Raw genomic sequence first — 13,652 nt, forward strand, 5'->3', positions numbered from 1 at the left:
CCCCACACCCTCCCCTAGAACTGTCCTTTCCCCATCCAGTGCCTCCCAAATCTCTCTTAGTCCCCAAATGTATCCCCGCCCTAAGGGGCGCTGGTGGGAGGAGCTAAATGTGGGGGCGGGGCTCGGAGTCCAGCTTATTATCATGGCATCTCAGCCAGGGCTGGGGTAGGGGTTTGGGAAGGGCAACCCAGCATCCCCCGATCCCAGAGTCGCGGCCGGGGATGACGCGAGAGAGCGTGGTCGCCCCCAGAAGGCCCTGGGCCATCATGCCGGCCTCCACGTAGACCCCAGGGGTCGCTCACTCCTGCCAGCTCGCCTTCACCAAGGCCAGGAGCTTAGCGCACGCTCGCCTCCCGCCCCCCCGCCGCCTCTGCCGCCGCCCCCTCCTTGGAAACCAAGTTACCAACGTTAAACCAATCCCCAAGCGCAACTCTGCCTCCCCCACACCCCACCCGCCGCGCCGCGCGGAGCCGTCCTCTAGCCCAGCTCCTCGGCTCGCGCTCTCCTCGCCTCCTGTGCTTTCCCCGCCGCGGCGATGCCAGGGCCTTCGCCAGGGCTGCGCCGGGCGCTACTCGGCCTCTGGGCTGCTCTGGGCCTGGGGCTCTTCGGCCTCTCAGGTAAGAGCCCCGCTCTGGTTCGGGGTGGACAGGGCGGGGGCGGAGTCCCTGGACCTGAGAAACGGCCTCCTGTCCCTCCCAGCTCTGCCCTCGCCTCGCTCCCACGCCTCTGCCCCCACCTCGAGCCTGAGTCTTCTCCCCTTCCCCCTCCTCCCCAACACACACCCGAGCCCCAGCTTCCTGACTCCTCGATAGCCCCTACCCGCTTCGAGATCCTAGGTGTTCTTCCGCACCCAACCCTTCGCCCTGGAGACCCAGTGTCTCTCCTGTCCGCTCCCCGGGTACCTCCTTACGCTGTGCTGTGCACCATGGTCCACGGACTGGCATCTTCCCCACTCGCGGTCCGCGAAGACTCCATCTCTCCAACTACCCTGACTCAGAGGCGCTGTTCCCGCTCCACCCAGAGCCCTGGCAACCGGGTCCCTCAGCTGTTCCCGCGGTTCCTTCCATGAGCCCAGCCTTGCGTCCCGGCTCCGTGTTCTTCACCGGGTGTAGGGTCCTTCCTGATCCTTGACCCAGCCTCGTCTCTCCTTTGCCCTTGCCGCAAACGCACTCTCCTCGTATCCCGGCATTCTGCCAGGACCCTGAGAACTGGTTCATCCCCCATCCCCCATCCCGGGTCCCCTTCTCTCAGCCTTGCTGTGTTCATCCAAGAACCCACCTTTCCTCTCCTCTACGCCCTCCCCCCATGCTTTCCCGCCGCTCCATCGGCGCTTTGGAGACCATGGCTCTCTGCTACCACGTCCCAGAGACACCCTCGAGGTTTAGACTCTGGGAGTGCGCCTTTAAACCGGAGGCCTGGGCAGGACGCGGGACGCCTGGGTTCTTTCCCTGGCTGCAGCCTCTCCTCCTCCTCCCCGCCCTCTGAGAACCCTTGACTCGACATAGGGGCGCTAAGATGTCAGGGAGTTGGCTCCCCAGGCTCAGCCCGCGTTTCCCTGGGCAGCGGTCTCGCAGGAGCCCTTCTGGGCGGACCTGCAGCCTCGCGTGGCGTTCGTGGAGCGCGGGGGCTCGCTGTGGCTGAATTGCAGCACCAACTGCCCTCGGCCGGAGCGCGGTGGCCTGGAGACCTCGCTGCGCCGAAACGGGACCCAGAGGGGTTTGCGTTGGTTGGCGCGGCAGCTGGTGGACATTCGCGAGCCGGAGACTCAGCCCGTCTGCTTCTTCCGCTGCGCGCGGCGCACACTACAGGCGCGTGGGCTCATTCGCACTTTCCGTGAGTTCTGGGTGGCCACGCGCGTACTCCACTACTCTCCCTCCCTCCCAGGCCCCGCCCCCTGGGTCCCAGGGTCCTCCCCTTCAGGCCCCACCTTCTGTTCCAAGTCCCGGTGTTCAAAGAGCTGCGGACTCTTCCCCCTTGCAGAGCGACCAGATCGCGTAGAGCTGATGCCGCTGCCTCCCTGGCAGCCGGTGGGCGAGAACTTCACCCTGAGCTGTAGGGTCCCCGGCGCCGGGCCCCGTGCGAGCCTCACGCTGACCCTGCTGCGGGGCGCCCAGGAGCTGATCCGCCGCAGCTTCGCCGGTGAACCACCCCGAGCGCGGGGCGCGGTGCTCACAGCCACGGTACTGGCTCGGAGGGAGGACCATGGAGCCAATTTCTCGTGTCGCGCCGAGCTGGACCTGCGGCCGCACGGACTGGGACTGTTTGAAAACAGCTCGGCCCCCAGAGAGCTCCGAACCTTCTGTGAGTGGGTGTGGGGAGGAGATGGGGACCCAGTGGGGTCGGTCGGTGTTTAGGAGGTTTAGAGGTAGATACATCTGAATGCTGACCCCGACTTCAACCCTCGCCGGCTGAGCTGTTTCCCCCTCCGTGCCTTGAGGATGATAATACGATAAGATAGTGCATGTCAAGTGCTTAGGACATATTGAGCGCTCGGAGTTAGTTCAAACTTGGTTCTTCGACCCCTAGCCCTGTCTCCGGATGCCCCGCGCCTCGCTGCTCCCCGGCTCTTGGAAGTTGGCTCGGAAAGGCCCGTGAGCTGCACTCTGGACGGACTGTTTCCAGCCTCAGAGGCCAGGGTCTACCTCGCACTGGGGGACCAGAATCTGAGTCCTGATGTCACCCTCGAAGGGGACGCATTCGTGGCCACTGCCACAGCCACAGCTAGCGCAGAGCAGGAGGGTGCCAGGCAGCTGGTCTGCAACGTCACCCTGGGGGGCGAAAACCGGGAGACCCGGGAGAACGTGACCATCTACAGTAAGGAAGGAGGCGGGGTCTCCGCGGCTCCGAGGTGGGACCAGAGGAATGCGAAGGCGGGGCGAAGAGTGGGCGGGACCTCAGTACCGGAACAGGCGTGGCCCGAGGGGCGGGGCAGGTGGGGGCGGAGACGTAATCGCTGGGGAGGAGGAGCCTGTACAGCCTGAGAGGCGGGGCGCCGTACCCTAGTTCGTTCTCAGCACCCCGAGGATTCGGGCAGATAAGGGGCGGGCCTTGACCGGAGGGAGGGGTATGGTCAGTATACTACGACCAAATGCTCCGCCCCCAGGCTTCCCGGCACCACTCCTGACCCTGAGCGAACCCAGCGTCTCCGAGGGGCAGATGGTGACAGTAACCTGCGCAGCTGGGGCCCAAGCTCTGGTCACACTGGAGGGAGTTCCAGCCGCGGTCCCGGGGCAGCCCGCCCAGCTTCAGCTAAATGCCACCGAGAACGACGACAGACGCAGCTTCTTCTGCGACGCCACCCTCGATGTGGACGGGGAGACCCTGATCAAGAACAGGAGCGCAGAGCTTCGTGTCCTATGTGAGTTGGTGATAACCCCTCGCCCCCCACCTTCTGGTGACTTCCAAGGACCCGCCTGCTCCCTCACCGTGTCGTGGAGGCGGAGCCATTTCTTACGTCTAAGCCTCTGTAACCCCACGCCCTGCCCGCAGACGCTCCCCGGCTAGACGATTCGGACTGCCCCAGGAGTTGGACGTGGCCCGAGGGCCCAGAGCAGACGCTGCGCTGCGAGGCCCGCGGGAACCCAGAACCCTCAGTGCACTGTGCGCGCTCCGACGGCGGGGCCGTGCTGGCTCTGGGCCTGCTGGGTCCAGTCACTCGGGCGCTCTCAGGCACTTACCGCTGCAAGGCGGCCAATGATCAAGGCGAGGCGGTCAAGGACGTAACGCTAACGGTGGAGTGTGAGTGGGGGTGCGCAGGGTGCATTTCTATCTGGTTCAAGGTCTGGAGGGTGGCCAGCCTCCAGGGAAGAGTAGGAGTAGGGTATGAGGTGTCCCTTTGGGTGAGGTTTTGGGAAAGGGAAGAGGCTGGTTAGTGGGGTTGGAGAAAGATCTTGGAGGATGGAAGGGACCGGGTGGGCGTGCCCCTAGCCTAGGGCGTGGTATTTGGGCGGAGTCGTGGAAAGGCGGGCAGTCCAGAGTGTTTAAGTTTTTAGACGAAAAAGGCGCCACTGGTGGCTCAGGAAGCTCCCAGACAGAGTGCATGCCTCGACTAGCGTGACACCTCCTTGGATCGGCGTCCAAGGGTTATGCAGGGACAACACTTCGTGGAAGCCTTGCCGCGCCAAGGAGGGTCTAGGGACGTCAGATTTGCCCCCAAACCCCAAAGCCAACAATACACTCCCTCCTCCAGACGCACCAGCGCTGGACAGCGTGGGCTGCCCAGAACGCATTACTTGGCTGGAGGGAACAGAAGCCTCGCTGAGCTGTGTGGCGCACGGGGTACCGCCGCCTGATGTGATCTGCGTGCGCTCTGGAGAACTCGGGGCCGTCATCGAGGGGCTGTTGCGTGTGGCCCGGGAGCATGCGGGCACTTACCGCTGCGAAGCCACCAACCCTCGGGGCTCTGCGGCCAAAAATGTGGCCGTCACGGTGGAATGTGAGTAGGGGCACCGCGGAGTTAGGCAGGATCTGTGGGACAACCCCGGCTGGACTTCCTGGCCCCCGTGTGAGCCCCTGCAATCCTGTTTCCCAGATGGCCCCAGGTTTGAGGAGCCGAGCTGCCCCAGCAATTGGACATGGGTGGAAGGATCTGGGCGCCTGTTTTCCTGTGAGGTCGATGGGAAGCCACAGCCAAGCGTGAAGTGCGTGGGCTCCGGGGGCGCCACTGAGGGGGTGCTGCTGCCGCTGGCACCCCCAGACCCTAGTCCCAGAGCTCCCAGAATCCCTAGAGTCCTGGCACCCGGTATCTACGTCTGCAACGCCACCAACCGCCACGGCTCCGTGGCCAAAACAGTCGTCGTGAGCGCGGAGTGTGAGCGAGGCCCAGGCGGGTAGGGAGCAGGGGTGCCCCACGGTCCAGGCACTCCCTGACATCCCCCATGGCTGCTTTGCAGCGCCACCGGAGATGGATGAATCTACCTGCCCAAGTCACCAGACGTGGCTGGAAGGGGCTGAGGCTTCCGCGCTGGCCTGCGCCGCCCGGGGTCGCCCTTCCCCAGGAGTGCGCTGCTCTCGGGAAGGCATCCCATGGCCTGAGCAGCAGCGCGTGTCCCGAGAGGACGCGGGCACTTACCACTGTGTGGCCACCAATGCGCATGGCACGGACTCCCGGACCGTCACTGTGGGCGTGGAATGTGAGTGGGGGCAGCACCGGATGGAGGGGACACGGTCCTCGGAAGAATGACTCGCAGCGGTGGGAGCATTCAAGGGCACCTCTCCCAATCCCATTCTCGGGGACAGGGAATTCCAGCCTAAACCAGGGGGTAATGAAAATTCTAGCCAGGCGCAGTGGCTCAGGTCTGTAATCCCAACACTTTGGAAGGTTGAGGCGGATGAATCACTTGAGGCCAGGAGTTCGAGACCAGCCCGGCCAACATGGCGAAAACCCGTCTCTACAAAAATTAGCCGGTCGTGGTGGTGGGCGCCTGTGGTCCCAGCTACTTGGGAGGCTGAGGCAGGAGAATCGCTTGAGCCTGGGAGGCAGAGGTTGCAGGGAGCCGAGATCCCGCCACTGCACTCCAGCCTGGGCAACAGAGTGAGACTCTTTCTTAGAAAAACAGAAAAAGAAAATTATAGGGAATAGGAGCACGGCCCTCCTCAAATCCTGGATTAGAACACTGACCTGGGCTTCACCTCCTTCCATTCGGTGAAGAAGGGCGAGGAATTTTAGCCGCAACAGCAGCCTGATTGTCGGGGAAGGAGGCTCTGATAGGAGGCAGGATCCTCTTCTGCCCATCAGAGGCGCGGTGGTCTCCCATCGATCGTTGTGGGCCGGAGCAGGGCATTTGATCAGTGGCTGGGCCGGCGCTAAGCCCCACTTCACCTTCTGTGCCCTTCAGACCGGCCAGTGGTGGCCGAACTTGCTGCCTCGCCCCCTGGAGGCGTGCGCCCAGGAGGAAACTTCACGTTGACCTGCCGCGCGGAGGCCTGGCCTCCAGCCCAGATCAGCTGGCGCGCGCCCCCGGGGGCCCTCAACATCGGCCTGTCGAGCAACAACAGCACACTGAGCGTGGCAGGCGCCATGGGAAGCCACGGCGGCGAGTACGAGTGCGCAGCCACCAACGCGCACGGGCGCCACGCGCGGCGCATCACGGTGCGCGTGGCCGGTAAGTGGCAGCTGGGGAGAGGCGGGGCGAGGTATCTGAGAGGGGGCGTGACCTGGGTCTTGGGGCGGCCGGCCCCGCCTGCCTCCCTCTCGGTCCCGGTAGACTAGACGGAAGTGGGACAGAGTAGAAGTCAAAGGTGCCTTAGCGGGTGGGGCTGTTGATCGCACTTTGAGGGGTGGGAGATGGAGGTGGCAGGGGGACTGAATTCAAGGGGAGGGACCCTCCGGGGCTGTCACTGCTGCAGGAAAGGACTTTAAAACTTGGGCTGGATTCTGCGTGGTGGAAACTTGACCCAATTCACAATCCACTGTGGGGAAGATTGGGGAGGGACCAAAGTCATTGGATGTTGGAGGGAGAGAGGGGTCAAGATCGCCTTCTCTCACTTCCTGAAGCTCCTGGGGCTGGGTTCTCTCTGGGGTCGGGGGAACCTGACCTGGTCCTGCCGGTCCTCATTTTTTGGGGGATGGGGAGAGTTGACTTGTCGCCAGGGGGCTAAGTGTGGTCACGGGTTTATATCCCCATGGGCTGAAGTGCGATATAAATCGGGACTCGGGTCGCCCTGGCACTGGGAGTGGCCTTATTGCATGGGTTGTCTCCCTTCTCCCAAGGCCAGACAGTGAGCTCCCCGGGGCATGAGGACTGACTTCGTGCCTGTGGGAGTGCGGGGGGCGGTGGGAGAAGCCCCCCGGAGCTTGGCCACCCTCCGCGAGGGTCTCCACCCCGCAGGTCCGTGGCTATGGGTCGCCGTGGGCGGCGCGGCGGGGGGCGCGGCGCTGCTGGCCGCGGGGGCCGGCCTGGCCTTCTACGTGCAGTCCACCGCCTGCAAGAAGGGCGAGTACAACGTGCAGGAGGCCGAGAGCTCAGGCGAGGCCGTGTGTCTGAACGGAGCGGGCGGCGGCGCTGGCGGGGCGGCAGGCGCGGAGGGCGGACCCGAGGCGGCGGGGGGCGCGGCCGAGTCGCCGGCGGAGGGCGAGGTCTTCGCCATACAGCTGACATCGGCGTGAGCCCGCTCCCCTCTCCCCGCGGGCCGGGGGACGCCCCCCAGACTCACACGGGGGCTTATTTATTGCTTTATTTATTTACTTATTCATTTATTTATGTATTCAACTCCAAGGGCGTCACCCCCATTTTCTACCCATCCCCTCAATAAAGTTTTTATAAAGGAACTCCCTGTCTCCGCTTCTGTTTCTGCAAGGTGGAACAAGCCCAGGGTTCCAGTCGTGACCTCCCGAGTTATTCATTCAAAAAGCGATTTTTGAGAGGGCCTGGGGTGGTGGCTTAGGCCTGTAATCCCAGGACTTGTGGGAGGCCCAGGTGGGAGGATCCCTTGCACCCAAGAGTTTCAGACCAGCCTGGGCAACATAGGGAGACCCTACAAAAAATATTTTTCAAAAATTAGCCAAGGCCGGTCGCGGTGGCTCATGCGTGTAATCCCAGGACTTTGGAAGGCCGAGGCGGCCAGATCACGAGGTCGAGGTCATGAGATCGAGACCATCCTGGCCAATATGGTGAAACCCTGTCTCTACTAAAAATACAAAAATTAGCTGGGCATGGTGGTGCGCGCCTGTAGTCCCAGCTATTCGGGAGGCTGAGGCAGGAGAATCGCTTTAACCCCGGAGGCAGAGGTTGCAGTGAGCCGAGATCGTGCCACTGAACTCCAGCCTGGCGACAGAGCGAGATTCCGTCTTAAAAAAAAAACCAGGCGTGGTGGCTCACGCCTGTAATCCCAGCACTTTGGGAGGCCGAGGCGGGCGGATCACGAGGTCGGGAGATCGAGACCATCCTCGCTAACACGGTGAAACCCCGTCTCTACTAAAAATACAAAAAAAAAAAAAAAAAAAAAATTAGCCGAGCGTGGTGGCGGGCGCCTGTAGTCCCAGCTACTCAGGAGGCTGAGGCAGGAGAATGGCATGAACCCGGGGAGCAGAGCTTGCAGTGAGCCGAGATCGCGCCACTGCACTCCACCCTGGCAGACAGCAAGACTCCGTCTCAAAAAAAAAAAAAAAAATTAGCCAGGGCCGAGCACAGTACTCTCGCTTGAATCCCAGAACTTTGGGAAACTAAGGCGGGGGGGGGGGGTCACTTGAGGTCAGGAGTTCGAGACCACCCTGGCCAACGTGGTGAAACACCTTCTCTACCAAAAATACAAAAAAATTAAGGCCGGGTGAAGTGGCTCACGTCTGTAATCCCAGCACTTTGCGAGGCTGAGGCGGGCGGATCATGGGGTTAGAAGATCAAGACTGTCCTGGCTAACATGGTGAAACCCCGTCACTACTAAAAACACAAAAATTAGCCGGGCGTGGTGGCACATGCCTGTAGTCCCAGCTACTCAAGAGGCTGAGGCAGGAGAATCGCTTTAACCCCGGAGGCAGAGGTTGCAGTGAGCCAAGATCGCACCACTGCACTCCAGCCTGGGCAATAGAGCGAGACTCTGTCTCAAAAAAAAACCAAAAACAAAAACAAAAAAATACAAAAATTTAGCTGGGCTGTAGTGGCACACGCCCTGTAATCCCAGCTACTCGTGAGGCTGAGGCAGGAGAATTGCTAGAACCCGGGAGGTAGAGATCTTGCCATTGCACTCCAGCCTGGGCAACAGAACTAGACTCTGTCTCAAAAAAAAAAAAAAAAAAAAAAAAGTGTTTTTTGAGGGGGCTGGGCATGGTGGCTCAAGCCTGTAATCCCAGGACTTTTGGGAGGCCCAGGTGGGAGGATCCCTTGTGCCCACGAGTTTCAGACCAGCCTGGGCAACATAGCGAGACCCTACAAAAAAACATGTTTCAAAAAAAAATTTTTTTTTTTGAGATGGAGTCTCGCTCTGTCGCCCAGGCTGGACAGCAGTGGCACTATCTCTGCTCACTGCAAGCTCCGTCTCCCGGGTTCATGCCATTCTCCTGCCTCAGCCTCCCAAGTAGCTGGGATTACAGGCGCCTGCCACCACACCCAGCTAATTTTTTTTTGTATTTTTAGTAGAGATGGGATTTCACCGTGTTCGCCAGGATGGTCTCTATTCCTGACCTCGAGATCCACCCGCCTCAGCCTCCCAAAGTGCTGGGATTACAGGCGTGAGCCACCGCGCCCGGCCTCAAAAAAAAAATTTTTTTTTTGAGATGGAGTCTTGCTCTGTCACCCAGGCTGGAGTGCTGTGGTGTGATCTTGGCTCACTGCAACCTCTGCCTCCTGGGTTCAAGCAATTCCCCTGCCTTGGCTTCCCAAATAGCTGGGACTATAGGCATGCACCACCACACCCAGCTAATTTTTGTATTTTTAGTAGAGACAGGGTTTCACCATGTTGGCCAGGCTGGTCTCGAACTCCTGACCTAAGGTGATCCACCTGCCTCGGTCTCCCAAAGTGCTGGGATTACAGCTGTAAGCCACCATGCCTGGTGTATTTTTCAAAAATTAGCCAGACATGGTGGTGCATGCCTGTAGTCCCAGCTACTTGGGAGGCTGAGGCAGGAGGATCCTTTGAGCCTAGGAGGTCAAAGCCACTTCCAGCTATGATATCGTCATTGTGCTCCAGCCCAGGTGACAGAACCAGACCCTGTCTCTAAAAACAAACAACGAAAAAATCCAAAAACTTTTTTTGAACACCTACTATGCATCAGGCACAATCTAAGCTGTCTTTTTCTTTTTCTTTTTTTTTTTTTTTTGAGACGGAGTCTCTCTGTCGCCCAGGCTGGAGTGCAGTGGTGTAATCTCAGCTCACTGCAAGCTCTGCCTCCCACGTTCAAGCGATTTTCCTGCCTCAGCCTCCTGAGTAGCTGGGATTACAGGCGCGCGCCACCACTACGCCCGGCTAATTTTTGTATTTTTAGTAGAGACAGGGTTTCACCATGTTGGTCAGGCTAGTCTGGAACTACTGACCTCGTGATTCACCTGCCTCGGTCTCCCAACGTGCTGGAATTACAAGCCTGAGCCACTGTGCCTGGCCCGGCTGGCTGTCTTTTCTCAGTGTGACCTAGAGCTCGTCCTCTCTCAGTGCCTGTTTTCTGCTCTCTTCACACCCTTGGGCAGGGGTGGGGGCCTCACTCCTTCCTCCTACTTATCTCTTCCACCCAGCACTGCCCTCTGATCCGGGTCACTCTTGGAGGTGGGGGCTAGGTGCTTCCCCCAGGCCTGGTTACCGGCAGAGCTGAGGCCGCCTTGCCAGGGTGGGTGGAGGCCCTCTCCGTTGTGCCCCTGCCCTGAGACTTCGGTGAGACCTTCCTGGGCAGGCACTGGCTGATGCTATGGGTGTCAGCCCTTAGCATGTCCTCCCTGTTAAAGGGGGCACCCCTGCCCCGCCCTCAATGCCTCCTTTGTCCTGTGTCCACCCACAGTGCTTCAGTTTACCCCCACCCTGCCTTTCCACTCAGCCCATCATGATTCAGAACAGACACACACAGGGTATCCGCTGCAACCCCCACTACACGGCACCTTCCCCCCTCATCCCCAACAGCATAAGGCACAGCAGCTGGGCCTCCTCCCCACAGCCTCCTCCTCTGCCCCTCCTCCCTCAAAAGCAGGAACACGGAGCCCTAGAGAAGGAAGCCAGTCCCATGCAAACATGTAATGAGCAAAGATGAGACGGGGAAATGGCACAAGAGGGCAGGCCAGTGCTCGGTGCTGGAGCCAGGGGCCAGGTATAACACCCAAAAAGGCACCAGCCAGGTGCAGTCCCTGCCACTAACAGCACCTCACCTTTTCTGCCTGTGCCCTCCCTACTTAATGATCTCTCTCCGCTCCTACTGACCTCAAGGTCTCTTTCAGAGCCTTCAGATGAGATATTTATTTTAGTAGGTTGGTGCAAAAGTAATTGCTGTTTTTGCCATTGAAAGTAATGGCAGGCAGGGCATGGTGGCTCACGCCTGTAATCCCAGCACTTTGGGAGGCCGAGGTGGGCAGATCACGAGGTCAGGAGTTCAAGACCAGCCTGGCTAACATGGTGAAACCCTGTCTCTACTAACAATACAAAAAAAATTAGCCGGACATGGTGGCACACCCCTGTAGTCTCAGCTACTTGGGAGGCTGAGGCAGGAGAACTGCTTGAACCCTGAAGCGGAGGCTGCAGTGAGCTGAAATCACGCCACTGCACTCCAGCCTGGGCCACAGAGTGAGACTGTCTCAGAGGAAAAAAAAAAAAAAAAAGTAATGGCAAAAACTGCAATTACTTTTTCTTTTTCTTTCTGTTTTTTTTTTTGTTTGTTTGTTTGTTTGTTTGTTTGTTTGAGACGGAGTCTCACTGTGTGGCCCAGGCTGGAGTGCAGTGGCGCAATCTTGGCTTACTGCAGCCTCCGCCTCCCAGGTTCAAGTGATTCTCTCCTGCCTCAGCCTCCCAATAGGATTACAGGCACCCACCACTATGCCTGGCTAATTTTTGTATCTTTAGCAGAGATGGGGTTTCACCATGTTTGCCAGGCTGGTCTCGAACTCCTGATCCACCCACCTCAGCTTCCCAAAGTGCTGGGATTACAGGCAGGCATGAGCCATGGTGCCCGACATTTTTTTTTTTTTTTCTTTTTTTTTTTGAGACAGAGTCTCACTTTGTCACCCAGGCTGGAGTGCAAAGGCAAGATCTCACTGCAGCCTCTGCCTCCTGGGTTAAAGCGATTCTCCCACCTTAGCCCCCTGAGTAGGTGAGATTACAGGCACATGCCACCACACCTGCCTAATTTTTGTATTTTTAATAGAGAGGGGGTTTCACCATTTTGTCCACGCTGGTCTCGAACTCCTGACCTCAAGGGATTCGCCCACCTCAGCCTCCCAAAGTGCTGGGATTACAGGCATGAGCCACCACGCCCGACCTCCTTAACTCTTTTATTTCCTTGCACACTTTTTCTCTGTAGCCCAGCTCACAACTTAACATCCTCTTAGACATACACCTGAGGTTTTTTTTTTTTTTTTTTTTGAGAGGGAGTCTCTCTCTGTCACCCAGGATGGAATGCAGTGGTGTGCTCTCAGCTCACTGCAACCTTGCAACCACTGCCTCCCAGGTTCAAGCAATTCTCCTGCCTCAGCCTCCCGAGTAGCTGGGACTACAGACACATGCCGCCACACCTGGCTGATTTTTTGTTTTTTAGTAGAGACAGGGTTTCACCGTGTTGCCCAGGCTGGTCTCAAACTCCTGAGTTCAGGCAGTCCGCCTGCCTTAGCCTTCCAAAATGCTGGGATTACAGGCATGAGGCACCGCGTCCTGCCTCTGAGTTTTTTTTTTTTTTTTTTTTTTACTGTCTCCTAGAACATCAGCCCCAGTAGAGCAGGGATCTTTGTTCTGTTCACCACTGAGGGTCCTCATTGGGTCCTAGCACACACAGTTGCTCAATAAATGTTGAATAAGTGGGTAAAGACAGCCACGAGCTTGCAGATATGTGTTCAAGGTGTGTCCTTGCAGAGAGCTTCTCTATACTTGGCACTGGAGAGGCCTGTCGTGGGCAAGGACATAGATGTGGCGACCTCAGACTTGAGAACTCCTGGGGCAGTAGGGGAGATGGATGTGGATAATGTAACCATAAGCCTTCCTTTCTATTTTAGACTGAGTGGTCAAGGAAGGCTTCCAGACAATGGAAATTCTGATAGGTTCTAAGAGGGAGACCAGCAAGGAGCTGAACCGGAGGCTGACACAGGGTGAGAGTGGGAATGTCTATTTTATTTTTTTTTTGGAGACAGGGTCTCACTCTGTTGCTCAGGCAGCAGTGCAGTGGCACGATCGTGGCTCACTGCAGCTTCAACTTCCCAGACTCAAGTGATCCTCCCACCTCAGCCTCCCAAGCAGCTGGGAATATAGGTGCATGCCACCACATCCGGCTAATTTTTGTATTTTTGGTAGAAACGGGGTTTCACCATGTTGCCCAGGCTGGTCTTGAACTCCTGGGTTCAAGTGATCTTGCTGCCTTGGGCTCCCAAAGTGCTTGGATTACAGGTGTGAGCCTGTGAGCCACATCTGGCCTATTTTATTTTTTAATTAGTTTTTTGTTTTTGTTTTTGTTTTGAGATGGAGTCTCTGTCTCCAAGGCTGGAGTGCAGTGGCACGATCTCGGCTCACTGTAACCTCCACCTCCCAAGTAGCTGGGATTACAGGCACATGCCACCACGCCTGGCTAATTTTTGTATCTTTAGTAGAGACAGGGTTTCCCCATGTTGGCCAGGCTGGTCTCGAACTCCTGACCTCCGGTGATCCACCTGCCTCAGTTTCCCAAAGTGCTGGGATTATAGGAATGAGCCACTCTGCCTGGCTGGGCATGTGTCTTGTTTTTTTCATTCTGTAGATAACAAGCAATTGTCCTCCCTCAGCCTCCCAAGTAGCTGGTACTACAGGCGCCTGCCACTACGCCCGGCTATTTTTTGTAGTTTTAGCAGAGGTGGGGTTTCACCATGTTAACCAGTCTCTAACTCCTGACCTCAGGTGATCCTCCTGCCTTGGCCTCCCAAAGTGCTGGAATTACAGGTGTGAGCCACCAAGCCCAGCCTCAAACTCCTGAGTTTAAGTGATCCTCACACCTCAGCCTCCCTGAGTGCTGGGATTACAGGTGTGAGCCACCACACCCGGCCTGAGTCGGGGGAGGTGTCTAT

At 58.2% G+C, this 13,652-nt stretch overlaps 1 protein-coding gene across 1 annotated transcript, besides 6 other annotated features; it reads left to right on the forward strand.

Annotated features, from left to right (window-relative positions):
- On the forward strand, nucleotides 444-7,270 carry ICAM5 (intercellular adhesion molecule 5). Its single transcript, NM_003259.4, has 11 exons — nucleotides 444-617; nucleotides 1,564-1,833; nucleotides 1,981-2,301; nucleotides 2,527-2,814; nucleotides 3,104-3,358; nucleotides 3,490-3,738; nucleotides 4,190-4,435; nucleotides 4,532-4,810; nucleotides 4,893-5,132; nucleotides 5,838-6,104; nucleotides 6,831-7,270. The coding sequence occupies exons 1-11, from the start codon at nucleotides 536-538 to the stop codon at nucleotides 7,106-7,108; spliced, it is 2,775 nt and encodes a 924-aa protein (NP_003250.3). The 5' UTR covers nucleotides 444-535; the 3' UTR covers nucleotides 7,109-7,270.
- Nucleotides 1,839-1,908: a silencer, noted in NCBI's record as "silent region_10062". NCBI's record gives its function as "represses an Ori minimal core promoter by ATAC-STARR-seq in GM12878 lymphoblastoid cells {active_cell/tissue: GM12878}" and the evidence as "EXISTENCE:reporter gene assay evidence [ECO:0000049][PMID:35858748]".
- Nucleotides 2,299-3,291: an enhancer, noted in NCBI's record as "H3K27ac-H3K4me1 hESC enhancer chr19:10402483-10403475 (GRCh37/hg19 assembly coordinates)". NCBI's record gives its function as "activates a minimal SCP1, AML or CMV promoter by ChIP-STARR-seq in naive H9 embryonic stem cells {active_cell/tissue: H9 hESC(naive)}" and the evidence as "EXISTENCE:reporter gene assay evidence [ECO:0000049][PMID:30033119]".
- Nucleotides 2,919-3,018: a silencer, noted in NCBI's record as "silent region_10063". NCBI's record gives its function as "represses an Ori minimal core promoter by ATAC-STARR-seq in GM12878 lymphoblastoid cells {active_cell/tissue: GM12878}" and the evidence as "EXISTENCE:reporter gene assay evidence [ECO:0000049][PMID:35858748]".
- Nucleotides 9,934-10,766: a transcriptional cis regulatory region, noted in NCBI's record as "candidate enhancer chr19.1775 targeted for multiplex CRISPR interference". NCBI's record gives its function as "positively regulates ICAM3 and ICAM5 gene expression in K562 cells {active_cell/tissue: K562}" and the evidence as "EXISTENCE:mutant phenotype evidence [ECO:0000015][PMID:30612741]".
- Nucleotides 10,055-10,219: a silencer, noted in NCBI's record as "fragment chr19:10410239-10410403 (GRCh37/hg19 assembly coordinates)". NCBI's record gives its function as "represses an EF-1alpha promoter that drives an FKBP-Casp9 reporter gene in an ReSE screen in phorbol 12-myristate 13-acetate-treated (for megakaryocytic differentiation) K562 erythroleukemia cells {active_cell/tissue: K562(+PMA)}" and the evidence as "EXISTENCE:reporter gene assay evidence [ECO:0000049][PMID:32094911]".
- Nucleotides 10,126-10,375: an enhancer, noted in NCBI's record as "active region_13956". NCBI's record gives its function as "activates an Ori minimal core promoter by ATAC-STARR-seq in GM12878 lymphoblastoid cells {active_cell/tissue: GM12878}" and the evidence as "EXISTENCE:reporter gene assay evidence [ECO:0000049][PMID:35858748]".

This window comes from Homo sapiens, chromosome 19 (assembly GCF_000001405.40).
Source record: "Homo sapiens chromosome 19, GRCh38.p14 Primary Assembly".
Taxonomy (NCBI): domain Eukaryota; kingdom Metazoa; phylum Chordata; class Mammalia; order Primates; family Hominidae; genus Homo; species Homo sapiens.

What these genes read in the sequence shown, in the direction of transcription:
- ICAM5 (NM_003259.4), top strand. Translation starts at nt 536, where the DNA reads ATGCCAGGGCCTTCGCCAGGGCTGCGCCGGGCGCTACTCGGCCTCTGG. An exon ending in CAGAGAGCTCCGAACCTTCT is followed by an intron (nt 2,302 to 2,526) that starts GTGAGTGGGTGT and finishes TTCGACCCCTAG; the next exon opens with CCCTGTCTCCGGATGCCCCG. An exon ending in AGTCGTCGTGAGCGCGGAGT is followed by an intron (nt 4,811 to 4,892) that starts GTGAGCGAGGCC and finishes GCTGCTTTGCAG; the next exon opens with CGCCACCGGAGATGGATGAA.